The 26634-nt window shown below is 45.7% G+C and overlaps 1 protein-coding gene across 18 annotated transcripts in view, besides 3 other annotated features; it reads left to right on the forward strand.

Moving 5' to 3' along the window:
• Positions 1 to 26634, forward strand: part of TRAF3 (TNF receptor associated factor 3) — a 134052-nt gene that overhangs the window by 95451 nt on the left and 11967 nt on the right. For 5 of the 18 annotated variants that reach the window (NM_145725.3, NM_003300.4, XM_017021617.2 and 2 more), the window contains 6 exons: positions 2725 to 2829; positions 3459 to 3626; positions 13290 to 13370; positions 16661 to 16735; positions 18426 to 18518; positions 24362 to 24502. In NM_145725.3, the coding sequence (NP_663777.1) occupies positions 2725 to 2829; positions 3459 to 3626; positions 13290 to 13370; positions 16661 to 16735; positions 18426 to 18518; positions 24362 to 24502 (663 nt within the window). Of the gene's footprint in view, positions 1 to 2724; positions 2830 to 3458; positions 3627 to 13289; positions 13371 to 16660; positions 16736 to 18425; positions 18519 to 22173; positions 22375 to 24361; positions 24503 to 26634 lie in introns of those variants that run through there. The other 13 variants (NM_145726.3, XM_047431739.1, XM_017021619.2 and 10 more) reach the window with 7 other exon arrangements.
• Positions 12767 to 13966: an enhancer, noted in NCBI's record as "BRD4-independent group 4 enhancer chr14:103352003-103353202 (GRCh37/hg19 assembly coordinates)". NCBI's record gives its function as "activates an origin of replication core promoter dependent on BRD2, P300/CBP, MED14 and CDK7 cofactors, and independent of BRD4, by STARR-seq in HCT116 cells {active_cell/tissue: HCT116}" and the evidence as "EXISTENCE:reporter gene assay evidence [ECO:0000049][PMID:35650434]".
• Positions 17810 to 18310: an enhancer, noted in NCBI's record as "H3K4me1 hESC enhancer chr14:103357046-103357546 (GRCh37/hg19 assembly coordinates)". NCBI's record gives its function as "activates a minimal SCP1, AML or CMV promoter by ChIP-STARR-seq in primed H9 embryonic stem cells {active_cell/tissue: H9 hESC(primed)}" and the evidence as "EXISTENCE:reporter gene assay evidence [ECO:0000049][PMID:30033119]".
• Positions 18311 to 18811: an enhancer, noted in NCBI's record as "H3K4me1 hESC enhancer chr14:103357547-103358047 (GRCh37/hg19 assembly coordinates)". NCBI's record gives its function as "activates a minimal SCP1, AML or CMV promoter by ChIP-STARR-seq in primed H9 embryonic stem cells {active_cell/tissue: H9 hESC(primed)}" and the evidence as "EXISTENCE:reporter gene assay evidence [ECO:0000049][PMID:30033119]".

The following is a 26634-nucleotide window of genomic DNA, read 5'->3' on the forward strand; positions in this document are numbered from 1 at the left end:
TAGGCCAGTCTCGAACTCCTGACCTCAGGTGATCCACCTGCCTCGGCCTCCCAAAGTGCTGGGATTACAGGCATGAGCCACCGCACCCAGCAATTCATTCTTAAAGTGCTTAAAATATCAATAAAAATGTGTGTTTCCCTACTTTGAGTAATATACCTAACCATTTTTTAAATGCAGGTCACTAAGTTGTACAATAAAATTCTTACTCTGGGGTTTTCCTGTCTAAAGCACCTTGCAGATTGGGTTTGTTGGTCAGAGCAGCCCAGGTGAGTGCAGTGATTTGAGGATTGCTGGTAGTCAGTGTCCCTGGGCTGCCAGGCACACAGGCATCCAGTATAGCCGCTCTGGAAGGGGGAGAGATGGAATTGGCCACCTGGCCCTGTACCTTTTCTTTCTCTGCATTTACCTGCTGCTGCTGCAGGCTTGGTTAGTTCCTTGAGTGAAAACAGCCCCTCCCCTCCACTCTGTGCCTTGGCCTAGCATGGTACTCGGCCGCCTTGTTAACATGTGCCTAACGTGTGAGTGAGAGAGAAGCTCGCGACGATGGCTGAGATGTTTTTTTAGTATCTCTGTTTTGTTATGCAGAATCATTATCCCTATTTTTTAATGACATAAGTAGCTGAAGAAAAATGGCTAGTTTTATCAAAGAATCATGAACGAGATGCACTCAAGTTGTGGACCCTCATGGAGAGAATGGAGCTGTCTGGGCCCCGGGTGACCCGGATCCTCACCCGTCAGCAGGTCATCCAGGGGTGGGCGGGCCTCTGGTCTTCATCTGTAAACAGAGACATTTTGAGTAAATAGTCTCAGATCCTTTCCATTCCAAAGTTCTGTTGACTTTAGTATCTCAAGTCATGACCTTCTTTTTTTTTTAGTCATGTTTATGAAAGATAAGCTTTGGCTCCAAATTAGTTTATTTTTAACTCTTAACAGCTGTTGATTTTATTTCTCTCAGCAGTCCAAAAAGGCACATTAAGCTCCTGTTATTCCACTTTCATAGAGCAACAGGCAGGAGTTTCTTAGAAATAACCTTTGGACTAAGATGTTGTAGATCGTGTTGTTAGAAAGAGTGAGAGGGAGCTGGGCATGGTGCCTTATGCCTGGGATCCCAGGACTTTGGGAGGCTGAGGCAGGTGGATCACTTGGGCTCAGGAGTTCGAGACCAGAGTGGGCAGCATATGGAGACCCCATCTCTACAAAAATGAAAATTAAAAAGTTACCTGGGCTTGGAGGCATGCGCCTGTAGTTCAAGCCACTCAGGAGGCTGAGGTGAGAGGATCGCTTGAGCCCAGGAGTTTAAGGGTGTAGTGAAGCCATGATTGCACCAGTGCGCTCCAGCCTGGGTGACAGAGTGAAACCCACCCTGTCTCTTTTTGAGACAGAGTCTCACTCTCTTGCCCAGGCTGGAGTACAATGGCGTGATCTCAGCTCACTGCAACCTCCTCCTCCCGGGTTCAAGCGATTCCCCTGCCTCAGCCTCCCGAGTAGCTGGGACTACAGGCATGTGCCACCACACCCGGTTAATTTTTTTGTATTTCTAGTAGAGATGGGGTTTCACCGTGTTGGCCAGGCTGGTCTCAAACTCCTGACCTCAGGTGATCCACCCACCTCGGCCTCCCAAAGTGCTGGGATTACAGAGGTGAGTCACTGTTCCCAGTCAACCCTGTCTCTTAAAAAAAGAGTGAGAATGAGAATACTTGTGTTTTCTAAGGGAAAAATAAAATTAAAAGTTGAAAGGTTTTTTCTTCTTCTTTTTTTTTTTTTTAAAGAAATGGGGGTCTCCCACTGTCGCCCAGTCTGGAGTGCAGCAGTGCGATCATGGCTCACTGCATCCTCTACCTGCCAGGCTAAAGCAGTCCTCTTGCCTCAGCCTCCTGAGTAGCTGAGACTGCAGGCGCATATGCTGCCTTGCCCAGCTAATTTTTTAAAAAAATTTTTGTAGAGATAGGGTCTCATTGTGTTGCCTAGGCTGGTCTCAAACTCCTGGACTCAAGCAATCCTCCTGCCTCGGTTTCCCAAAGTGCTGGGATTTTAGGCTTCAGCTACCACGCCCAGCCTCGTTTTCATTTTCAAAGGGAAATCTTTTCATTATTAGACTAACTTCAGACTGCAATATATGTTTAAAGAGAGTGTTTTTCAACCACAGGCTAATGCTGCTTTTTTTGGTGAAAAATGAGTTTTAACAGCATGACCTTTAGAAGGAACCAACAGTTTTACAAATCATTCCCCAAATATGGTCTCTTATGTGGTCTCTCCATTTCTCCAGCAAGCGATCTATACAATGTATTCAGTTGTGTCCAGTTCTGCTCTTGTCCTCTGGTGACAGCTGCACCATAATGGCCACCTGCTCCGTGCTGGCTCCCGGAAGGCCCCAGAGTCTGAATGTGAACCTGGTCCTCCTCTGCCCTCATCCTGAAATTATGTCAAAGTTAATAGAAGATGTTTAGATGCTCCAGAGTGATCGTTAATTATCAAGTCTAATTCATTTTCTTTTGGCTTAACTAATAAAAGATAACAGTTAATGTTATTTAAATTGTGTCTCTTAGTGGGGGCAGCTTCTTCATTCTACTTCTAGAAATCAAGATGGTCCTTAATGCTTTCTGAAGTTCACTTAAGAGTTCCTCTCTTGTTTTTTTTTTTTAAGTGGTTTTGCCTTGTCCAAAGTAGCAGCATGTGGAGATTAAGAAATATTAATCCTCCAAAATAATGATCTTTCATTTTCAGGTGTTTAAGGATAATTGCTGCAAGAGAGAAATTCTGGCTCTTCAGATCTATTGTCGGAATGAAAGCAGAGGTTGTGCAGAGCAGTTAATGCTGGGACATCTGCTGGTGAGTAGCAAAGGGACACTGGAACCTTTTACATGAAGGAATTCGAGTCCCTTACATCCAGCTGATGAAGTGGTCAGTAGGATGTGGCACTTTAAGACCATGTTGACATTAGTTTTTCAAAACACAGCCAAATAGGAAAGCAGTCAGAACCACTTGAGTATAAGTTGTTATTTTTATGACATCATTGGCAGAATTGTCAACTGGTTTTTAAACACTCCCCCCCCTACTTAGAATAGAGAAAATCTGAATTGGATTTTAATTTTGGAAGGCCCATTAAAACCTTTTTTCACCATGAAATTCTACATAACTTCTTATTTTTTTAGTTAGTACCATATTTTAGCTTAGAAAATTATTTGAACTGGAATAAAACAAAGTTCTTAGCAGATATTCATTTATCCTGGAAGCAGAGTTGACTTAATTCTTCAACAACAATATGGTTTGAGTAATCATGAAATAGAATATGAAATTCAGTGTCTCTTGGCATACTTGTTACTCTTTGCTGTGGAAAACTGGTCTAACAGCAGATGAGAAACATTTCTTTAGGGTTTCATTGCATAGAGATTAGAATCTGGTATTTCAGATTTAGGGTTTTTTTCCCAATTAAGAACATTGAATGGTCTGTCTTACAGGTGCATTTAAAAAATGATTGCCATTTTGAAGAACTTCCATGTGTGCGTCCTGACTGCAAAGAAAAGGTCTTGAGGAAAGACCTGCGAGACCACGTGGAGAAGGCGTGTAAATACCGGGAAGCCACATGCAGCCACTGCAAGAGTCAGGTTCCGATGATCGCGCTGCAGGTGCGGGTCCTCCCATTCCACAGGCCTTCCACTCAATTCCTATATGATACATTCCACAGGCCTTCCGCTCAATTCGTAGATAATCCGTTCCACAGGCCTTCCCTCAACTCATAGATAATCCGTTCCACAGGCCTTCCACTCAGTTCATAGATATTCCGTTCCACAGGCCTTCCGCTCAATTCATAGATAATCCGTTCCACAGGCCTTCCCTCAACTCATAGATAATCCGTTCCACAGGCCTTCCGCTCAGCTCACAGATAATCCGTTCCACAAGCCTTCCGCTCAATTCGTAGATAATCCATTCCACAGGCCTTCCGCTCAGTTCATAGATAATCCGTTCCACAGGACTTCTGCTCAGTTCGTAGATAATCCGTTCCACAGGCCTTCCCTCAACTCATAGATAATCTGTTCCACAGTCCTTCCGCTCAATTCATAGATAATCCGTTCCACAGGCCTTCCCTCAACTCATAGATAATCCATTCCACAGGCCTTCCACTCAATTCATAGATAATCCGTTCCACAGGCCTTAGGCTCAATTCATAGATAATCCGTTCCACAGACCTTGTGCTCGATTCATAGATAATCTGTTCCACAGGCCTTCCCTCAACTCATAGATAATCCGTTCCACAGGCCTTCCGCTCATCTCGTAGATAATCCGTTCCACAGGCCTTCCGCTCAGCTCATAGATAATCCGTTCCACAGGCCCTCCCCCAACTCATAGATAATCCATTCCACAGGCCTTCCGCTCAGCTCATAGATAATCCATTCCACAGGCCTTCCGCTCAGCTCATAGATAATCTGTTCCACAGGCCTTCTGCTCAGTTTGTAGATAATCCATTCCACAGGCCTTCCGCTCAATTCATAGATAATCCGTTCCACAGGCCTTCCGCTCAGCTCATAGATAATCCATTCCACAGGACTTCTGCTTAGCTCATAGATAATCCATTCCACAGGCCTTCCGCTCAACTCATAGATAATCCGTTCCACAGGCCTTCCGCTCAGCTCATAGATAATCCATTCCACAGGACTTCTGCTCAGCTCATAGATAATCCATTCCACAGGCCTTCCGCTCAGCTCATAATCTGTTCCACAGGCCTTCCGCTCAGCTCATAGATAATCCGTTCCACAGGCCTTCCGCTCAGCTCATAGATAATCTGTTCCACAGGCCTTCTGCTCAGCTCATAGGTAATCCCTTCCACAGGCCCTCCCTCAACTCATAGATAATCCATTCCACAGGCCTTCCGCTCAGCTCATAGATAATCCATTCCACAGGCCTTCCGCTCAGCTCATAGGTAATCCCTTCCGCAGGCCCTCCCTCAACTCATAGATAATCCGTTCCACAGGCCTTCCGCTGAGTTCATAAATAATCCATTCCACAGGCCTTCTGCTCAATTAATATATACTTCTTCCACTGTACAGCTTCTTAAAGACTATTCTAATAGGACTAAAGAGAAAAGATAGGAATAAATAGCACTTTTTATCTGACTTTATTTCAGAATTAAGCTTTGTTTTGCCTATTTTGATTTATGTAGTTAACATTTTCCATTGCCTTGATTGACTATCATTTAGTATGTCAAAAAATGAATAGTTATTCAAAAAAGGTAAAATTTTTATCTTGTCCTAGGGAATTGCCTCAAAATGTTGATAGATTGCCTGGTCTTATTACAGCTCTGTGACATAACCATCACTTACAACAGGCTAATTTGTCCTACAGCATTGAAATGCAGCTGTTTATCTTGGAGAGAGACAGCTTCTCATACTTCGGTTACTTTGGCACAGTTTTGCATTGTGTGTTTCTGTGGGGGTGAGTGTGTGAATGTGGGTGAGTGTGTGGGGGTAAGTGTGTGTGGGGGTGAGTGTGAATGTGGGTGAGTGTGTGGGGGTGTGTGAATGTGGGTGTGTGTGTATGGGTGAGTGGGTGAATTAAAGAGGAAAGCAGAGATGTTGGGGGTGGAGGACACACTTAGAAAACAATGCATTTGTTGAACAAACACCTATTGGGTACCTACTGTGCGCCGGGCAGTATTCCAGGAGCTGGGGACTCAGTGGTGAGGCTCCTCTAGTGGGAAAAAATACTAACAAATGTGTAACATCGGGTAGTGATCAGTTCCATGAATAAAAATCAGGTGGCATCAAGGGAAGAGAGGTGATCAGCACTGGCTTGTCTGAGGCAGCCAAGGGACAGTGGGGGAGCATGTGGACCCTAAGCTGGAACTGGCAGGGCTGTGGGGTTCAGGAGCTGTGTGGAACACAGGTCAGATGTGAGGGCAGTGGGGCAGCCAGAGGGTGAGGGGAAAGGCACTGGGCAGCCCAGAACTGGGAGGGTGAGAGGGGCCCCGGGGCAAGGCCTGGTGTTGCTGGGGTGGGGGAAGGTTGTACTGGGGTGTGCCTGAGGGTGGAGCGGTAGGATTGGCCAGCAGGTGGGGTATGAGGTAAAGGTGACTCCCAGTGCTTGTGGAGAACCTAGGTGTCCTGCCGAGGGGGTGCCCAGTGAGTGGAGGGTGATGGGCTTGGGGGAGAATGGGGAGTGGAGCCATGCAGGCTGCAGATGGGGGTGAGTTTGGTGGCTCGCAGGATCATGGGGCTGGAGCGAGTGGAGAGGAGGACAGAGCTCGTGGGGGCCTGGGCACACCCTCAGAGGCTGCCTAGAGGCTGGGGTGGGCTTGGCCATGAAGTGACTGAAGGGAGGCACCAGGGCAGCTCAGCCAGGGCGTGGGCCATCATCCAGTTCCTGGTAGATATTGTGGAATGGTTTGTTTTGTTTGAGAGAGAGTCTCACTCTGTCATCCAGGCCTGGAATGCGGTGACACAATCTCAGCTCACTGCAGCCTCTTTCTCCCAGGTTCAAGTGATCCTCCCACCTCAGGAACCATAGGTGCATGCTACCATGCCTGGCTAATTTTTGTATTTTTTGTAGAGACAGGGTCTTGCCATGTTGCCCAGTCTGGTCTCAAAACTCCTGGGCTTAAGCCATCTGCCCACCTCAGCCTCCCAAAGTGGTGGGATTATAGGCGTGAGCCATCGCACCCAGCCGTGGAGCTCTAATGACCAAAATTTAGGGAGAGTTTCTTTTGCTTTTTTCTCTATGAAATGAGTTGTAGTCCTCTTAGGTTGGTGCAAAAGTAATTGCGTTTTTTGCCATTAAAAGTAATGGCAAAAACGGCAATTACTTTTGCACCAACTAAATACTTTATAATCTCTGAATTTGCCTTGCTTTCTGTAATTTTCCTGTGTCCATGTCTTTCTTCCATTGTGAAATCTTTTTCTTGTGTGGTACTTCAGATGTTTCCAGTTATTAAGAACTCTTGAGGCTGGGTGTGGTAGCTCACACCTGTGTGCCCAGCACTTTGGGAGGCTGAAACAGGAGGATCACTTGAGCTTTGGAATTGGAGACCAGCATGGGCAACATAGCAAGACTCTGCCTCTACGAAAAATAAAAATTTAGCCGGGTGTGCTGAAGCATACCTGTAGTTCTAGCTACTAGGGAGGCCAAGGTAGGAAGATTACTTGAGCCAGGGAGTTTGAGACTGGTAGTGAGCCATAATTGCACCACTGCACTCAGCCTGGGTGACAGAGTGAGACCCTGTCTCAAAAAAAAGAACTTTTAAGAACTGTGCCCTCCCCTTTGGAAAATAGCAGTAGTGTTTTTTTGGAGTCAAGTAATTCCTCCAGGCTGTGCATAATGGCTCATGCCTATAATCCCAGAACTCTGGAAGGCCAAAGCAGGAGGATTGCTTGAGGCCAGGAGTTCAAAACCAGCCTGGGCAACAAAGTGAGACCCCATCTCTAGAACGAAAATAATAATTTCTCCAGTTGTTAAATTTCAGTGAATGAGACACATGCCTAATTAACAAGACTTCAGGCTTTACATATGTTAATATGTTGCCATCTCATGCCAGTCAGAATGGCGATTATTAAAAAGTCAAAAAACAACAGATGCTGGCAAGGTTGCAGAGAAAAAGGAATGCTTTTACACTGTTGGTGGGAGTGTAAATTAGTTCAACCATTGTGGAAGACAGTGTGACGATTCCTCAAAGATCTAGAGGCAGAAATAACATTTGACCAAGCAGTCCTATTACTGGGTATATACCCAAAGGAATATAAATCATTCTATTATAAGGATACATGCACATGTATGTTCATTGAAGCAGTATTGACAATAGCAAAGACATGGAATCAACCTAAATGCCCATCAGTGATAGACTGGATAAAGAAAATGTGGTACATCTATACCATGGAATACTGTGTATCCATAAAAAGGAAGGAGATTGGCTGGGCGCCGTGGCTTACGCCTATAATCGCAGCACTTTGGGAGGCCGAGGTGGGCAGATCACCTGAGGTTGGAAGTTCGAGACCAGCCTGACGAAAATGGAGAAACCCCATCTCTATTAAAAAAACAAAATGAGCCGGGTGTGGTGGCAGGTGCCTGTAATCGCAGGTGCCTGTAATCCCAGCTACCTGGGAGGCTGAGGCAGGAGAATCGCTTGAACTCAGGAGGCGTAGGTTGCAGTGACCCAAGATCATGCACTCCAGCCTGGTCAACAAGAGCGAAACTCCGTCTCAAAAAAAAAGATCTGCCGGTCACGGTGACTCACACCTCTAATCCCAGCACTTTTGGGAGGCCAAAGCGGGTGGATCACCTGAGGTCAGGAGTTCAAGACCAGCCTGGCCAACATGGTAAAACCCCATCTCTACTTAAAATACAAAAATTAGCTGGGCATGGTAACACATGCCTGTAATCCCAGCTACTCGGGAGACTGAGACAGGAGAATCACTTGGACCCGGGAAGTGGAGGTTGCAGTGAGCCAAGATTGTGCCACTGCACTTCAGCCTGGGCGACAGAGCAAGACTCCGTCTCAACAACAAAAACAAAAAAAAAAAAAAAGAAAAAAAGGAAGGAGATCATCTACTTTGCAGGGACGTGGATGGAGCTGGAAGTCATTGTCCTTAGCAAACTAACACAGGAACAGAAAAACACCACATGTTCTCACTTATAAGAGAGAGCTGAACAATGAGAACACATAGACACATTTAGGGGATCAACACACGCAGGGGCCTGTGGGGTTAGGAGAGGGAGAGCATCAGGAAGAATAGCTAATGGATGCGGGGCTTAATAATACCTAGGTGGTGGGTTGATCTGTGCAGCAAACCACCATGGCACACATTTACCTGTGTAACAAACCCACGCATCTTGCACATGTACCCTGGAACTTAAAATAAATAAATATATAGCTATCAAAGTTATATTTTGCTTCTTGCCAAAATCAGTTACCTTTATTTGCAGAATAGAATCCAACAACTGATTTTTGTTTAAGAAGGAATCGTAGCGTATGTCTGTTAAACACCATATAAGTAACTGACTCTGAACACCAGATGAGGCTGTAACAGGTCAGGTTTAAGCACAAGCATATAGATTCACGAAATGGCGTCAGACCCTGCCCTGGTTGCTTAGGATGCACAGGAGAATAAATTGCACTCTCTCCTTCAGTTTGCAGTCTGATGAGAGAGACAGCCAGATGTACAGTTTAATTCATGTTAGTATGGGAAGTACTGGGACTGTAATATTAATAACATGCCAACAAGGAAGGACCAGTTACAATAGCTTAGCCGGAGTGTCAAGGAAGGCTTTAGTGAGGAGGTTGCCTTTCATTTGATCTGGGCCTTGAATTTGTCAACTAAAGACAAGGGAGAAAGAGAATAGATGGAAAGCACAGAATGATAATGAGTTTGGGGCCTGATTTGTGCAAACATTCCTTATAAATTGCACTTCATGCTTGAGATGAAACAAGTTGAAAACCGTTTGAGCAGTGTTGACAGTAGAGTGCATTTTAAGGTGTGTGTCAGCTTCTCTCAGGGCCTGCAGACATTTCAGCAAGCACGCGTGTTTGGGGTCCTGCCAGTGCATCTGCCCCTGCCTCTCAGCCTGACCAGGGGAGAGCAGTTGCTGGTTGGCTGCCTTTGCTCCAGGCCTGGTTCTGTGACTTGCCCTTGCCCTAGGCCACCTCTCTTTTCAGTGATGTGATTTAATTCCCATGTATTTTGTTTTTTTTTTTTTTCAATTTGAACACCCTTATTCTCATCCCCTGAGGCCTTCGTTGAGTTTATTTCTAGGAAGAACAGTCCTGATGTAGGGAGACCTAAAGCCCAGGTCATTCTAATTCTCCTACACTCCCTGTGTTCTGTGGTGTGTCACAACATCAAGTGTTGATAAAATGTGCTGAGGATGCATGGAAACCCTGGACCATTGCAGTTCATATAAGGATTTCTTTTCTACGTTTAAACTGTGGTGTAGACAGTATGCCAGCTATTTTCAGGTTTTATTATTACTTTTTAAATTTATAGGTTAGCATAATTTAAAGTGTCAGGAAACAAACCTTTTAGATTTAATCTAGAAATTCTGGACCATCATTCTTTAAACAGCTCTGTTAACTTGTGAAGGTCAGGATGATAAAGATCTCACCCTATGGGAAAGCATACGTGGTACAAGTCTGTAGGTATGACCGCTTTGGAAATCAACTGTCAGTATCCTACTAGGTTGGACATTCAGGCACTCAGTTAACCAGCAGTTCTTCTCCTGGATGTGTAGGAGAAACACACACGCCAGGAAATGTGGCCAGGTGTGACCAGAGCCGCAGAAATCTGGAAACAGCCGGAGCACCCATCAGCAGGTGGAAATTATATTACAGTGTTGTTATACGACAAGGAGATGTGTCATACAGTAGTGAAAGTTAGAGGCCTGCAGTTATTTGCAATAGGCAGATGAGTCTAAGAAGTGTAATACTGAGCGAAGTCCAGAAGACTCCTATGGTAGAATTCTGTATTAACAAAATTCAAAAACAATCAGAATGAAACAGTGTTTCATTTGGCACACATATGTATAGTGAAACCTTTTTAGAGGCAGAATTACAAAACTCAGGGTTGTGGTTTTAATGGGTACTCCTTGTGGGAGAATGAGGGTGAGATGGGAGAGGTAGGTGCAGAAGATGGATGTTATCAGTCATGCTCTTGGACCTGGGTGTTGGCTTCATGGGTGTTCACTATGTAGTTATGCTTTTTTTTTCTTTCTTTCTTTTTTTTCGAGGCAGTGTCTCACTCTGCCGCCCAGGCTGGAGTGCAATGGCACGATCTTGGCTCACTGTAACCTTCGCCTCCCAGGTTCAAGCAATTTTCCTGCCTCAGCCTCACGAGTAGCTGGGATTACGGGTGCCCGCCACCGCACCTGGCTGATTTTTATATTTTCAGTAGCGACGGGGTTTCACCATGTTGGCCAGGCTGGTTTCAAACTCCTGCCCCCAGGTAATCCGCCTGTCTCGGCCTCCCAAAGTGCTGGGCTTCCGCACCCGGCCTGTGCTTTTCAACTCACACATGTGTGCACATATATGTTTGTGTGATCAGAATTACATTTAATTTCATAGATAGGACTGATTTCATTAATAGACAAATGAAAAAAAATCAGCAGCAGATTCAGGGTTTTTTAAAAAATGAATGTGTTATTTTCCTTTGGCTTCTGTAACAAAGTAACCCAAAGTTGGTGGCTTGCAAAAAACAAATTTATCCTGTCATAGTTCTGGGTCTGGAAATGCAAAACCAAGGCCCTGCTGTCTCTTGACAACTGTAGGGAAGGCTTCCCTGCCCCTCTCAGTTTCTGGAGCCACCAGCAGTCCTTGGCCTTCCTTGGCTCATGGCTGCACCACTCCAACCTCTGCCCTCCATGTTCACGTGGCCGTCTTCCTAGTGCATGTCCTCACCTCTTCTAAGGGTGGCAGTCTTTAGATTTAGGGTCTGCCCGACGCCAGGGTGTCTTCGTCTTAACTGACGCCATCTTCAGAAATCTTATTTCCAAATAAGGTCACATTCTGAGGTTCCAGATAGACATGAATTTTGGAGGACATTATTGAACTCACTGTAGTAGTCAAAAGCTGTGAAAATGCCTTTTCACAGGAAAAGAAATAGAAATGATTAATAGAGAAATAGAAATGATTAATATCAAAAATATGCTTAAGACTGGGTGCAGTGGCTCACACCTGTAATCCCAGCACTTTGGGAGGCCGAGGCAGGTGGATCATTTGAGGTCAGGAGTTCGAGACCAGCCTGGCCAACATGGTGAAACCCCTCCTCTACTAAAAATACAAAAAATTAGCTGGGCACGGTGATGTGTTGCCTGTAGTCCCAGCTCCTCCGGAGGCTGAGGCAGGAGAATTGCTTGAACCCAGGAGGCGGAGGTTGCTGTGAGCCAAGATTGCACCACTGCACTTCAACTTGGGCGACAGAGTGAGACTCCGTCTCAAAAAAAAAAAAAGAAAAAGCACATATATATGTGCTTAACCACACATTACTAAAGAATTGCAGGTCCCACTCACCCCATTTTTTTACCTATCAGATTGCCAAAGATTGTGCGATAGAATTGGTGAGGATGTGGAAACGTGCATCCCCTGATACTGGGAGTGGAGACTGGTGTGGGCTTGTTGAAAGTCGAACACAGAAAGTTACTGAGTGGCCTTCTCTTCCCTGGCCACAGTGCTGCCCTCCACTCCCTTCTTTCTCAGCCTCCCTGCCCTGAGCCCCATCCCTATTCTGCCGCAAAACCACTGTGGGTGCCTGCAGAGTTGGGCCTTAGAAACATGCCGAGGAAAGCAAGCTCCTGGGGGAGAGGAGCAACCACGTTCCGAGGACGAGCTTCCCTCGGGTGGGCCGCTGCCCTCCTCAGCCCTCAGACCCGCCAGTCAGACTCTGGCTCTCAGCAAATCCCTCCCCAGTTCCTTCAGCAGAACAGCAACATAACTGGAGGCCAAAAGAGGACCTGAAAAGATGGATGGGGGAGGATTGAGGCATCCTGTGGCCACTGGGAAACCGCTGCCACAGTCTTCTGCTCAGCAGGGACTGTTCAGCGTGGCTCCATCTCTGGCTCTTCCTCATCAGTCTCTCCCCAGGGGCCCTGCAGTTGATGTCCTTGTGGGGAGTCCTTGCCCTTGCTCTGCTCATGGACAGGCACCCAGCAGGTGCCCATGGGATAGGGCTTAATAGTCGCCATCATCCAGCCTTAGCAAAGGTGAAGTTTGTGCTATTAGGGAAGGCCTAACCCAAAACCTATCCCAATTTTCTATGGACTAAAGATAATGTAGATTAAGGTTCTAGGTTAGTAATGTAAATACTCAGTAGGTTATGCTGCTCTGACATACTTGGGAAGCATCATTTCCAGACTCCAAACTAAGAGGCCAAGGGAAACCCTCCGTCTCTCAACCAGCAGAGGCAGACACCAGCTGGGTCCCCAGCTCCACTGTCCACCTGTGCTGTGAGTGCTGTGTGAGTGGCCATGCCTGCCTGAGCATTGCACGATAGGGGCTGTGTGAACCAGGAGCAGCTCTGGCACAGAGGAGGCGTGCTAAGGGGAAACCCTTGTGGCGAGGCCCCCACCAGCAGACTGTTCTGAGGCAAGCCGCCCTCACTGGTCAGATCTGACCAGATCTTTGGAGATACCTGTGGCATCCTGAGACACTCACACTCCGTGACAATAATGACTCAGCCATACGTAATGTGAGTGCCATAACTTAGAGGACAGCGATGGTGAGCAGAGCCATTCCTGGGGGCCCCATGGGGATCTCAGCGGGACTGAAGGAAGACAGGTTGTGTGTTTAAAGTTGATAGTACTTTCTCTCTCTGTAGAAACACGAAGACACCGACTGTCCCTGCGTGGTGGTGTCCTGCCCTCACAAGTGCAGCGTCCAGACTCTCCTGAGGAGCGAGGTAGGGGCGGCCGGGCCCGGCCGGGAGTCTGTGGAGTCCTCAGGGCTGCGTGCCTGGCTCCCCTTCCCTGCATAGCCGAAGCCTCACGTTTTCCCAGTTCGTGAGAGTCATGTGTATGGCAGACAAACAAAAACCACAGCAAAAAGCCTTATGCCATTTTTTGGAAGTCAGAAGCAAGCATTAGGGTTAAAAGCTACAGTGTATGGCCGGGCACAGTGGCTCACACCTGTAATCCCAGCACTTTTGGAGGCCTAGGCAGATGGATCACCTGAGGTCAGGAGTTCAGAACCAGACTGGCCAATGTGCTGAAACCCCGTCTCTACTAAAAGTACAAAAACTAGCCAGGTGTGGTGGCGCGCACCTGTAATCCCAGCTATTCAGGAGGCCGAGGCAGGAGAATCATTTGAACCGGGGAGGCGGAGGTTGAACAGAGCCGAGATCACACCACTGCACTCCAGCCTGGGCAACAAGAGTTAAACTCCGTCTCAAAAACAAAACAAAACAAAACTACACTGTGGTAAATTCAGAGCAAAGATTGTGAAGCATTAAGAAAATGGGAATATTTTACATACAGTACAAGCAAAGGTGACGAGGGGTTTTTAAAGCAATTTTAACTCTATAGAATAGTAATTGCTGTAAGATTATCTCAAGAACATGAATTAACTTAGAGACACTTCAGAACCATTTTGCTCACACATGCCGGGTGGAGGACAGCTCCCACATTTTAGGGCTGCCAGAAGGGCCCCTGTGTGGCCTCTCCCAAAGGTTGCACGTCTCACATTGCGCTTGGCACTCTTTCTTTGAGACAGGTAGATTTTGCATTGACTTCACTTGATCAGGATATGTCCAGTTGGGAAAATTTCAAGGATTCTTAATGTTTCTGCATCTGTCCTGACGGGGAGCTCCTTTAGTTAGTATTCTGGGAGTCATCTGGGGCTACCCTGGGCTCCCTGGATGTGTGGTACGCTGATCTAAGGAGCCGGCTCACCTTTTCACCTCAGCATTTTTCAACAGCCTGAAATTTTACCACTGGATACTGGGTAACAGGGAGAACCAGCCTCGCATGCCCCTGACTGAGCAAGAGGGCCCATGTGGGGCTAGGGCCAGGGACTCAGGGTAGAGGAGGGCCCAGAGAGCCACTCTCCCCCAGGGTGTGCCCTCCCAGCACCTTGAAGCTGATGGGTGAGGGCAAAGTCTTGCCTGATGACAGTGGCCTCTGGGCCCTGAATCTGCCCCTGGGAGGAGCTAGGGAAAAATAAATGTAAATTATTGCCACAACTGGACAATCCTCTGTTAATGTATAAAGAGTCTGTGCTGTTGAAATAATTTCTTTTTTTTTTTTTGAGACGGAGTCTCGCTCTGTCACTCAGGCTGGAGTGCAGTGGCGTGATCTCGGCTCAGTGCATGCTCTGCCTCCTGGGTTCACACCATTCTCCTGCCTCAGCCTCCCGAGTAGCTGGGACTACAGGCGCCTGCCACCACGCCCGGCTAATTTCTTGTATTTTTTAGTAGAGACGGGGTTTCACCTTGTTAGCCAGCATGGTCTCCGTCTCCTGACCTCGTGATTTGCCCGCCTCGGCCTCCTAAGGTGCTAGGATTACAGGTGTGAGCCACCGCGCCCGGCCAATAATTTCTTATTTAAAACATTGTTAAACCTGCATTTCTGTTGGGTTTCTGATGAAAGGTGCTTTTGAGCTATAGATTATTCTTGCCCCTATTCCAGAGATCCTGTAGATTCCCCGAGACTCAGAATACTGATAATAAAACCAATTTAGAAAAAGACCCAACACCGAATTTACTCTAGTACACTGAAAATAACATACATCAAACCCAGTGTGTCAGTGTGTCCCTGGCTTAACATGTAATAGCGTTGACACTCAGGTTTGTTATTGCAGTAATGACACTGGAAGAATACATTCCAAGTTTTTAAATGAACCTGGTTCTGCGCAGTCTTCACACTGCGTTTCCTTGCCAGTCACCTGTCACGTGCCTTGTGGGCGCTTCCTGCAGGGGCAGCCGGTCTGGGTTCTGAGGAGCAGCAAGGGCGTCAGGCTGCCAGGTTCCTACCACCTTGACTCTGCCCTGGCTCTGAGACCTTCCTTGAAGGTTGACCCTAGCAGTGGCCGCATGGGCCCCTCAGTCCCTTCCCGCAGTGTCCCTCCTCCTTAGTTTCGCAGCAGGGATCCATTTTCCCCTCTGTTGTAAATATCCACCTAGAGGGAAGGACCGCCTTTGTCCTGGTAGACTGAGAAGTTGTAGAACTTAGCTGCGCCCTCCAGGAGGATGTGCTCTATGAGCCTTGGGAACACATGCATGCTGGCACACAGAAGAACACATTCCCGGCTGCTGCACCCACACACCCATCCTCCCAAAAAGAGTCTGTTTTCTGTGAAGAAGATCTATCCCTAGAGTTTCCTGATGGGAATTTCTTCAATAAAAGACAAAACTTCTGCTCAGTCTTGGGGCATGATAAAGAAAAAGACCAAACTATACCTCATTTGTATTAGCCTAACACATGACTCTAAGTCCTTAAAATGTAATCCTTTCCATTCCCTTTTCTCTTGTTAGGGCATCATAAGTAATTTTTATTTGATAACTCACCAGCATTTGAGCTGAGCAAGGGACTTTTTTCTTGCAAAACGAGTTACCTGCTCCCAGCCCCACCTAATTTTCCTGCCATCAATTAGAGTTGACAGTAGTAAGAGTGTATGGTTAGACTGATCTTAGAGGTCTTTGAAAAGCTACCTGAGTTTCTGGCCCTTACAGAGGGAAAAAGTCTTTTCAGATGAAGGAAAAACTCATCTGCACTTATCTCAAGTATTATGAGTAATGGTACATTGTGTAAGCTTGCTTTGAAAATATATTTATTTTTGTGTACCGTATATTAGGTGTGTGACCCAGTTGCATTCTGAATGCTTTCTATTTTTTTGTGTTTTCATGCAATTTTTGTTTATGGTCTTTAAATGTGCATTTCAGTTTATGTTTTTTCTTTCTTTTTTAAATTCTGGCACTACAGATGGCATGTCACATTGAACAATTTGTTCTAAAGAAACTGGAAGTTTAAGAAATGTTATAGTAAATGTATTCTTGTATATTGGCGTATATGTGTATACACGTGACTAGACCGTATATTTACTGCATAGAAGTCTAGGCAGCAGATGATATATACACACCTGTAGCGATAAACACCATTCTTAATAGTACAGCTCAGATGCTATCTGTGCCCTAATATGTTTGAACATTTTCATGCAAACGTTTGTGCCACAACTCACGTCTCTTTCCCGTTGCAGTTGAGTGCACACTTGTCAGAGTGTGTCAATGCCCCCAGCACCTGTAGTTTTAAGCGCTATGGCTGCGTTTTTCAGGTCAGTATCCGACATTTGTCCTTCCCAGTCACTGACATTCTGCCATGAGAGAAAGTTATTATATTAACATTTTAACATGCAAGCTCTGGACTCCTTATTCTTTGTCATGAAACTGAAACACCCTGTTGCATGGGTGACGAAAGCCACATGCAGCAGGTGGGATGCTCGCTTTCCAGTTGGTGGTGCTTTGAGACTTCAGGGAGACACTGTGCTGAGGTGGAAGTTAATACATTAAGAGAAGTACTACATCCAAAACCAGCTAGTAATGCAACAGGTAGACTTGACATTTGGTGGGGTTTTCAGATAGATTGTTACGGAAATTTTAGCAGTTACCTGAATATAAGCGAATATCAAACTGAGCATAGTTTCAACAGCGTGTGTGTCAGTACACAGCCATAACGATCACACACGTGTGTATCCATAAATGCATTTGATGTACATGTCTGTGCTGACTCTGACCCCAACGGGGGACAGACGCAAAATGGAGCACAGCTCATAGAGAGCACACCTCCCCGAGAACAGTGTGGGGAGGGCATCTCTGTTGCTGCCGCACATGTAGTGTGAGAAATCTGCATCTGGTGTTTTGTTGTTGTTTATTTTTTAACACATCTGAGATTGCTAGTGAATTGGAACTGAGTTTTCATTTAAATATATGTATCTTAAAACTATCAAGAGGCAGTATATGTTACAATTAAAGTATTTTATATTTTATGTAGCACCAATACATTATTATGAAGTCAGTACAGAGAGATTGGCATCTTAGTATTTTCTGAGGAAGAGAACAGCCAAAGAGTAAGAATGACTGTGCCTTCCTTTGCTTTAGTCTCTAACAAGACTGAGCCTCCCCTGTTCTGTCGTACGTAGTATCATTCATTCTCTCTGTGTATGTGTATATATATGTTTATATATTGCAACACTTATATCAACATATATATATGAATATTCTATGTACAGAGTATATGTTTTGGAGATCATTAAAATGCTTTCTGTGGCTTCTTAATTTTCTAATAGCAAAACAAATTATATTTCAGACAAATTATTTTCTTAAATATATGAAGTACAATTTCATGTGCTTATTCCTGACTCTAAAATGGTCTACATCTTATGTACTCTGTAGATTGTATTTGTTTTGTATGTAACTTTTCTAAGAATACTGGAATGGTGAAGAGCAATACATCTTTGGATACAGTGTATTTGAACTAATACATTAATACTTTAGTAAATTCTTTTGAATCCTGCTTTGCTTACGTGTTTACTAGACTGTTGTGGCAGTATCTCGCTACAACTACAGGTATCTAAACATTTTCCACTTATGCTATATTTTAATGGGAAAAATAGCTTATAATAGGTCAAGAATGAGTTTAAAATTTAATTTCTTGATATTACAAGTGTCAACCCTTGATAAGAAGCCACTTGAGATGAGCTGAAGGGATGCGGAGATAACCCTGAGATGCTCACTGTGGCACTGCAGGGTGCTGGCTCTGCTGCTCCTGGCGGCCTCCTCACCTGCACGCAGTAGCCAGGTGGCCCTGAGCACAGCCCTCCTTAGGCGCAGAGATTCCCTGTTCACTTGACGCAAATAGGTCTCCCCTCTTTGTGTTTAGTGCTGCTTTTAGGGTCGTATGTTAGCCGTTCTGCCCTTTGAAATGCAGCGAGGTTCGCTGAATGCCTCACATGTTTGCTCTCGCAGGGGACAAACCAGCAGATCAAGGCCCACGAGGCCAGCTCCGCCGTGCAGCACGTCAACCTGCTGAAGGAGTGGAGCAACTCGCTCGAAAAGAAGGTGGGCTGCACACTTTCCTGCTGCTATGGGATTTGTATCATCTCTTCAGATTATTTAAAGACAAAACCTTTTTGTAGTTATTAATGGGTTTTGGATAAAAGAAACTATCAAGAGAATGTCAAAAAAAACTCTGTGTGATCTTGAGCTTATAAATGAAGGTGTTTTATTTTTGTTATTTGTTTTTTAATTGCCAAGCAAGTGTGAAGTGCTTTTTTAAAGTCAATCACATTGTGATTATTTTAGCATCCATCCAGCACAGAGATGATCAGATGCCCAGTCCCCACCCTGCTGTTTTTTTTTTGTAAACAAAGTTTTATTGGAAGACAGCCATCCTTACTCACTCTGTGTTGTCTGTGGCTTCTTTTGCTCGAAAGCAGCAGAGTTAAGAGACATGTGGACTGTACCGCTTGAGATACTGACTACTTGGCTCTTTACAGAATAAGTTTGCCAGCCCGGACCTGGGTGGTTACCCCTCTAAATGCGTTAAACTTCTGTGTTTTTTACAAGAGACAAACAGGAAAAAATATTTGATATGATTACAATTGATTTTGTCATTTGACACCTTGTGAAACTTGGTGCGCTCTCCACATAGACAGGGCCACTTCCCAAAGAGACTCTCCCATGCTGTTCTTTTTTTTTTTTTTTTTTTTTCCCCAAGACGGAGTTTTGCTCTTGTAGCCCAGGCTGGAATGCAGTGGTGCGATCTTGGCTCACTGCAACACCTCTGCCTCCCTGGTTCAAGCAATTCTCCTGCCTCAGCCTCCCGAGTAGCTGGTATTACAGGTGCGCACCACCACACCCAGCTAATTTTTGTATTTTTAGTAGAGATGGGGTTTCTCCATGTTGGTCAGGCTGGTCTCAAACTCCCGACCTCAGGTGATCTGCCCACCTCGGCCTCCCAAAGTGCTGGGATGACAGGCGTGAGCCACCACGCCCAGCCTCCATGCTGTTCTTAAGAGGCCTTCATTGCAGGCCTATAGGCGCAGGAGCAAGCACCTTCCTCCAGTAATGCTGGTTCTCAGTGGAGTTTGTTCTGTGATGTTCAGCTCAGTGGGGCCTTCTTTTCATGAGAAGATGAAAACCTCTAAGAATGGATAGAGAAGAAGTTGTTATAGGATCTACCATTGTGGCTTAATTACAAAAATATAAACTTAATTCAATATTCAACAAACGTCTATTGAGAACTTGTAGTAGGAGGATACTATGGTGAATTAGAACAGCCAGTGGAGTTGACATTTGAGTTTCGTAAAGATTTGAATGTCTTGTTTCCAGTGTTAAATCCCAGCAATTTAAAATGTAAATATACTGCAAGGAGTCTAAAATTTTAAATAGAAAGATTTCCCTTTAATCTGCCATAAGAGAGTGTTTCATGTAAATGCGTGAGCTGAGCTTGAGAAGCAGCAGGAGGATCGGCATCCTGTGCACACACACGGAGCAGAACAGCGCTGATGAGCAGCAGTGCCGGACTCATATTCGCAGAATCCTAGCCATCTTCCCGTGAGCATAGAGCATCTGCTCTGAGTTCAACAATGGTTTACCTAGGAATCTTTTTTTTCCCTCTTTTTGAAGCTGGCATTTTATTTCTGTCTTTTTAAAATTATAGGCATAGATCACAGGCTTTTTATCTTTCATAGATGCTGTGTTTCTCATTTAGAAGGTTCTTCCTTTCATTTTAAGGATAGGCTTTGTGGCCGGGCATGGTGGCTCATGCCTGTAATCCCAGCACTTTGGGAGGCCGAGGCTGAGGCTGAGGTCGGGAGTTCAAGACCAAGCTGGCCAACATGGTGAAACCCCGTCTCTACCAAAAAAAAAAAATACAAAAATTACGCCAGCATAGTGGCAGGCGCCTATAGTCCCAGCTACTTGGGAGGCTGAGGCAGGAGAGTTGCTTGAACCCGAGAGGTGGAGTTTGCAGTGAGCCAAGATCGCGCCACTGCACTCCAGCCTGGGCGACAGAATGAGACTGTCTCAAAAAAAAAAAAAAAAAGGAATGGGCTTTGTTACTGCTGTGTTAGATACACAGTAGTTGAACAGGTCTGCAGCACATGGTTATCCAGCAGGATGGTTGTGGACCGTGGTGTCATCTGGCAGCCTTTCGGGGCCTAATCCCTGTGGGGATTTGGCTCCTTCCTTCCTGTTCTGTGCTCTTTTCCCCACTGAAAGTGAATGGTTTGCATCATTGGAAACCCCAGGACATACCAGAGCAGCCTGCCCACACACAGTGCAGCAGTTTCTCACTCTGTCAATGCCTCATGTGTTTAAACTATCTCCAGCCAAGTCACGATGGAAGCCCCGAGAGTGCAGGATGCATAACTGTGCACTTCCCTCTTGGACGTTGCCAAAGGACTGATCTCTCCCGGACTCTGTCCATCAGAGCAGAGTCCTCGCCCTGTTGTCAGGCCAGCCAGCTCGGCTCTGCACGTTCTCATTGTGCTCACGAGAAGGTGTATGGTGCCCTTTGCTAGGTCCAAAAGCAAAGGCTGGACAAACAGCAGAGATATTTATGTTTACTTAAAATGGGAATTTATTTCTTATTATAGAATTATTTAGTTGGAATTTCTTAGGTTATTTTGTTCATCTGTCTTAGAAAATAGAATGTTTGAGCGGGTTCACAAAGACTGATCCTCAGCTGGGCGCGGTGGCTCATGCCTGTAATCCTAGCACTTTGGGAGGCCGAGGCGGGCAGATTGCCTGAGCTCGGGAGTTCGAGACCAGCCTGGGCAACACGGTGAAACCCCGTCTCTACTAAAATACAAAAAATTAGCTAGGAGTGGTGGTGTGCGCCTGTGATCCCAGCTACTCGGGAGGCTGAGGCAAGAGAATGGCGTGAACCCGGGAGGCAGAGGTTGCAGTGAGCCAAGATCATGCCACTGCATTCCAGCCTGGGTGACAGAGTGAGACTCGTCTCCAAAAAAAAAGACTGATCCTCACATTCATAGTCAAACTAAAGAAAAACTGCAAAATCTGGACTTAAAAACACCCATTTTATATTTTAAGAGAGCTTAAATGGAGGGGAAATGTAAAGCCCACCAAAGTGGGCTGGAGTAAAGGATGTTCTCATTGCAGAGAACCTCGGACCTCCTGGGCCGGTGTTTTGCCGGCTCCTTGGAACACACCTGCCAGGTGGACTTTCCTGTGCCTATGGCATCTCCCTGCTAGAAGAGTGGAAGCAGTGATCTGCAGGACCTGGGAGTTGGATTCTTCGATTAAATAAATAAATAAGTAGTTTAAATAAGGGAAGTCCTAAAGTGAAAGAAGTTGAGTTTAGTGTGGCATGATGTGTGTTCATTGCTGTAAGCTGCTTCTGCTCATACTCAACTGCTTGATTTGTTGGAGAGCAGTGGCGCAATTATGGCTCACTGCAGCCTCGACCTCCTGGGCTCAAGTGATCCCATCCAGCCTCCCCAGTAGCTGGGACTGTAGGCGTTTGCACCACACCTGGCTAATTTTTGTGTTTTTTTGTAGAGATGGAGTTTCGCCATGTTGTTATCCAGGCTGGTCTTCAATTCCTTGGGCTCAAGTGGTCCGTCTGCCTCAGCCTTCCAAAGTGCTGAGACTACACGTATGAGCCATCACAGCTGGCCTATTGACAATGTTTTGGAGACATTACTGAGATTTTTTCAAAAGAGTTGGCATACATGTCATCTTTTTGCAGGGATATGAGAATAAAGAGTCTGAGAATTCTGTCCCGTCTTTGACAGATGGAAATGAATGAATTGTTACTTTCAGAGGGACACAACTACCACGCGATGCTGCATATGGCCCGCTCCACATTCGTGCAGGTTGATCACTTGTAGGAGTTCATGGACGTATGAGGCAAGGAAGGAAGGAAAGCCTTTGCGGAGTAAAATCCTAGGAAAGTGAAGTTATATTTTGCCCATGAGACATTGCAAGTTTTGTATTCCTTAGTAAATACATACTTGTTTTAAAATAAGACGGTGATTGCTTCAAAAGATGTCTCTTGACTTGGCCAACTGTGCCGAATATGAAAAGGACACCCATCTTTAGGCTGGCTACCCTTTAGATGGACAGCATCGGGAGTCAGCTCTTTATCACATCTGGTTTTGTGCCGAGATGCCCTCGGGCCATCACCTTTGTGACCATTGGTCCCCACGCATTGGTGGTTTTAGAGCGTACATCGTTGGAGAGGCACACATCGGATCTGGCACAGAGCTTAGGGTCTTCTGGGGTGGAGACCACCACCCCAATGGATAGACAGAGACACTCGTTAATAGATGGGGGATCAAGATGCCCTTTGTAAAAATCTTGTGAGAAAGAAACCCTCGTTGGAGTTACCCTTGAACTTTTCATCTTTGAGACCAGGTGTTAATTTGTCTTTGGGAGCTAATTATCTTTCAGAAAGATTTTGGAAAGGTCAAATGTGGGGTTGGAAATGCTCACTCAGCAAGCCCTCCCTTTGGCTGATGTGGGTTGCAGGGGCTCTTCTGCGCTTCCGTGGAAGGGTATCCTCAGGCATCAGCTCTGCCTCTCCGTGTTGAGGGTGAGCAGGCTGGCCCCAAGGGTGTAGCACCCATGTAATTTTTTGTATTCTCGTCACGCTCTCATTATGTTGGCAGAGCTGTTCAAACTGCAGGGTGTGGCCCCTGGGTGGATGTGAAATAATTTAGTAGGTTGTGACCAGCATTGTTTATATTTATGGGGTACAGTGTAATGTTTTGGTATATACACACACACATTGCGGAATAATTAAATCGAGCTAATTAACATATCCATCACATCACTTTGTTTAAAATCTGCTCCCCCAGCAGTCTTGAAACACACGTTAGTATGAATCACAGTCACCATGCTGTTCAGTGGGCTCAAAAACGTCCGCCCCTCTGTCTAACTGAGGCTCTGTGCCCTTTGCCCAGCAGCTCCACAAGCCTACCCCCACTACCCACCTCCACCAGCCCGGGTAACCACCATTCCCTGCTTCTGTGAGCTTGACTTTTTTAGATCCCACGTCTAAATGAGAGTGCATCGTGTTTGCCTTTCTGTGCCTGGCTTATTTCAGTTAGCATAACATCCTCCAGGGACTAGTATTTTCTTAAATGAAATGGAATAAAAAAAATCAGGGTGCATTGTAAATTATTAGGGCAAGTACAGCTTTATGACATCTGTTTTCAGGGATACACACACACGTTGGTATAAGTGGGGTGATACATAAGCATCTGTTTCTTACTATGTTACCTGGTCAACAATTGAAAAATACTCTGATAAAAGATTTGCTAGTTTTTAGCAAAAACTTGAAAAAGCATCTGATTTATTCTGAAATTCAATCAGCCGCTGCACTTTGCCTCACCCTAATTACTGGAAGAGATTCTGAGAAACACTGTTTATAGCATTCCCTATTAAATTAGGACTGGCTGGGTATGGTGACTCACACCTCTAATCCCAACTCTTTGAGAGGCTGAGGTAGTAGGATCACTTTAGGCCAGGAGTTTGAGACCAGCCTGGGCAACATAGCAAGACCCTATCTCTAAAAAAATTATTTTTTTAAAGCCTAACCAGACATGGTGGTGGCATGTACCTGTAGGCCTAGCTTACTCAAGAGGCTGAAGTGGGAGGATCACTTGAGCCCAGGAGGTCAAGGCTGCAGTGAGCTATGATTGCACCACTGCACTCCAGCCTGGGGACAGAGCAAGACCCTGTCTCTAGAGGGGAAAAAAAAGAAAGAAAGAAAAGTACCAGGACTGTCATTTTCTGTGTGAAGGGATTTTTTTCTTCTGAAACTCTGTCAATAAGCTAACAGAAGGCCTATATTGTGAAAATTTAATTGATATTGTTGTTAATTAATATGAAAACCACTTTTGGTTACATTAATTAAAGAATTTCTTTTTTAGGTTTCCTTGTTGCAGAATGAAAGTGTAGAAAAAAACAAGAGCATACAAAGTTTGCACAATCAGATATGTAGCTTTGAAATTGAAATTGAGAGACAAAAGGAAATGCTTCGAAATAATGAATCCAAAATCCTTCATTTACAGGTAAGAATCTTAGGACTACGGCCAGATCAAAGGGTGGAGGAGCTTGCCTGTGTTCCCCTTAAGGGTTTCTTAGCAAACTCTTTGAGCTGAGTCCTTGACCTTTGCAAGCAGAAAGGCAACTGATTTCTCTGGCCTAAGTGAAGGCTTAGAAAAGGCAGCTGGACTAGCACAGGCCCGGCCTGGGAAGCCGCAGGTCAGCGTTTTCAAACTGCCTTTTCTCTGGAGAGCAAGCCTCCACCCCTCTTCCATGCCTTTGATCTACCGTTGGAGAAATAAGATGCGAAGCTTGTATTTGTTAAATTAGCTGTTTTTATTATTTAAGATTTCATATTGTTCATGAGTAGTTGCTGTGTGCAAAGTCTCACTTCCTGCAGTGAGGTGCTGTGCAGCCCAGCTACTCTGTGTGAGCTTTCCAGTGACACGCGCTCACCCGCTGGGTTTCACTGTGGAAATCCACACGCACCTCCAGAAGAACAAACCAGTGAACCTTTGCTCCCCTGAATAGAGGCGATGATGTAAAGGGGACTGATGAAATGTCGCTTCTCCTGTCTTCTGTCGTCACAGGTGTCTGTGGGGTGCTTGTTAATAGATGATCATTGTAGATGCTCTCTGCACATTCACTTACTCGTGTGCATTTGTGATAGCACTTCCCATGGGTGTGTCACACACCGTGGAAGAATCACTCATGTCACTGAAGGGCCTGAACTTAGACGGTGTGTCCCTAGATTATCTGGAAGAGAAACTACTTCTAATAGCACAGAGTCATGGCATCTTTGAGAATGCCTTTTCTCCAATTTTTGACATTGGAGATGAGTCATAGTGACTTGAATTGCGTAGGGATTTATTAAATTAATTTCATTTTTATTATATTTTGTAGTTATCCAGAGAGAGAAGGAGAAAACACAATGAAACATTAGATTGTATTAGAAAAGGCACAAGTCATTAGCATTAAATCAAGCCAAATAAAGTACAATGTTTCTTAAAACACCAAGCCTCCCGCTGGAAGCCCCTAGCATTTTGCTGAGGGCCCAGTGATGTGTCAGTCATCAGACTGGCCAAGGCGACTGGTCAGGCCACTGCTGCGGGGCCCTGGCCATCCTGTGGCCCGCCTGCACCTGCGCTCCCTGGCAAGCAGCTCTGGCTGTTCATGAGATTATTGCTGTGTTTTGACCTGGGGCTCAGAGAGGCACTGGAAAGGCCGGGGAAATCACCTCTTAAAATAGCCACAACAGAAGGAAGAATGCACAAGTACTGGATTCATTTACAACAAAAAGTTAGAATATACACAGTGATGTACCAACGCCCCATCCCAAACCTCACATTTCCTCTGCATTCATCTTCAGTTTCTCCCCTTCCAGTCAGGTGTTGTCATTTACTTTCCTTTTTAGTCGAGTTTAATCACTCTATGGTATGTGATTTCTACTTGAAAACTTTTGTGATTGGATGAACCAATGAAGCATAAGTCAGAAAGAAAGGGGGAAGCCAAGTTGCCAAGGGCAGAGAAGTGAGGATGGAGTGGTGACGGCAGCGGTCAGTGTCCCTTGACCTGTGACGAGTAGAAGGTGATGGCGCACCTGCCTCTTCCCCACAGGAGGCTGGGCGTGGCGGAGAGCAGGTTGTGTTTAGGGAAGGGACTCAGAGCAGGCTGCCCGCGCCTGATTCCCCTGAGTGCAGGGACACGGCTCTGCCTGAAACATGTGAAAACTCTTCTCCATGTGACCTGTTGAGCAGGCGTGGTCTACACAGAAGGTCCTTCCAACCGTGTGGTTTTTTGAAAGGGGAAATTCAGTGTTACCTTTGGGACCACTGTGGGGTTGGTGGTCTTTGGCCAGGAGGATTCTGCACTGTCCATCCTCAGGAAATGCTGATTGAAAGCCTTCTGATGCCCAGAGGTGCTGGCTGTGTGGGAGCTGCACGGGGCCAGGCCATCCCTCTGCTGCTGCAGGCCCCGCCTACCCTCTTGAGCAGCAGCCCAGCTCAGCCGTGTTCCCCACTGTTTCATCCTCAGAGCCCTTCCTGTTGCCCCAGGAAGGGTTTATCGTAAAATCTTACTGTGGCCCAGAAAACCTCTGTGCCTGGCCACCGGTCACCTTCCCAGCTTCGCCCCACTCCCTGCGCTAAAGTGGACCCGC

This window comes from Homo sapiens, chromosome 14, assembly GCF_000001405.40.
Source record: "Homo sapiens chromosome 14, GRCh38.p14 Primary Assembly".
Classification (NCBI taxonomy): domain Eukaryota; kingdom Metazoa; phylum Chordata; class Mammalia; order Primates; family Hominidae; genus Homo; species Homo sapiens.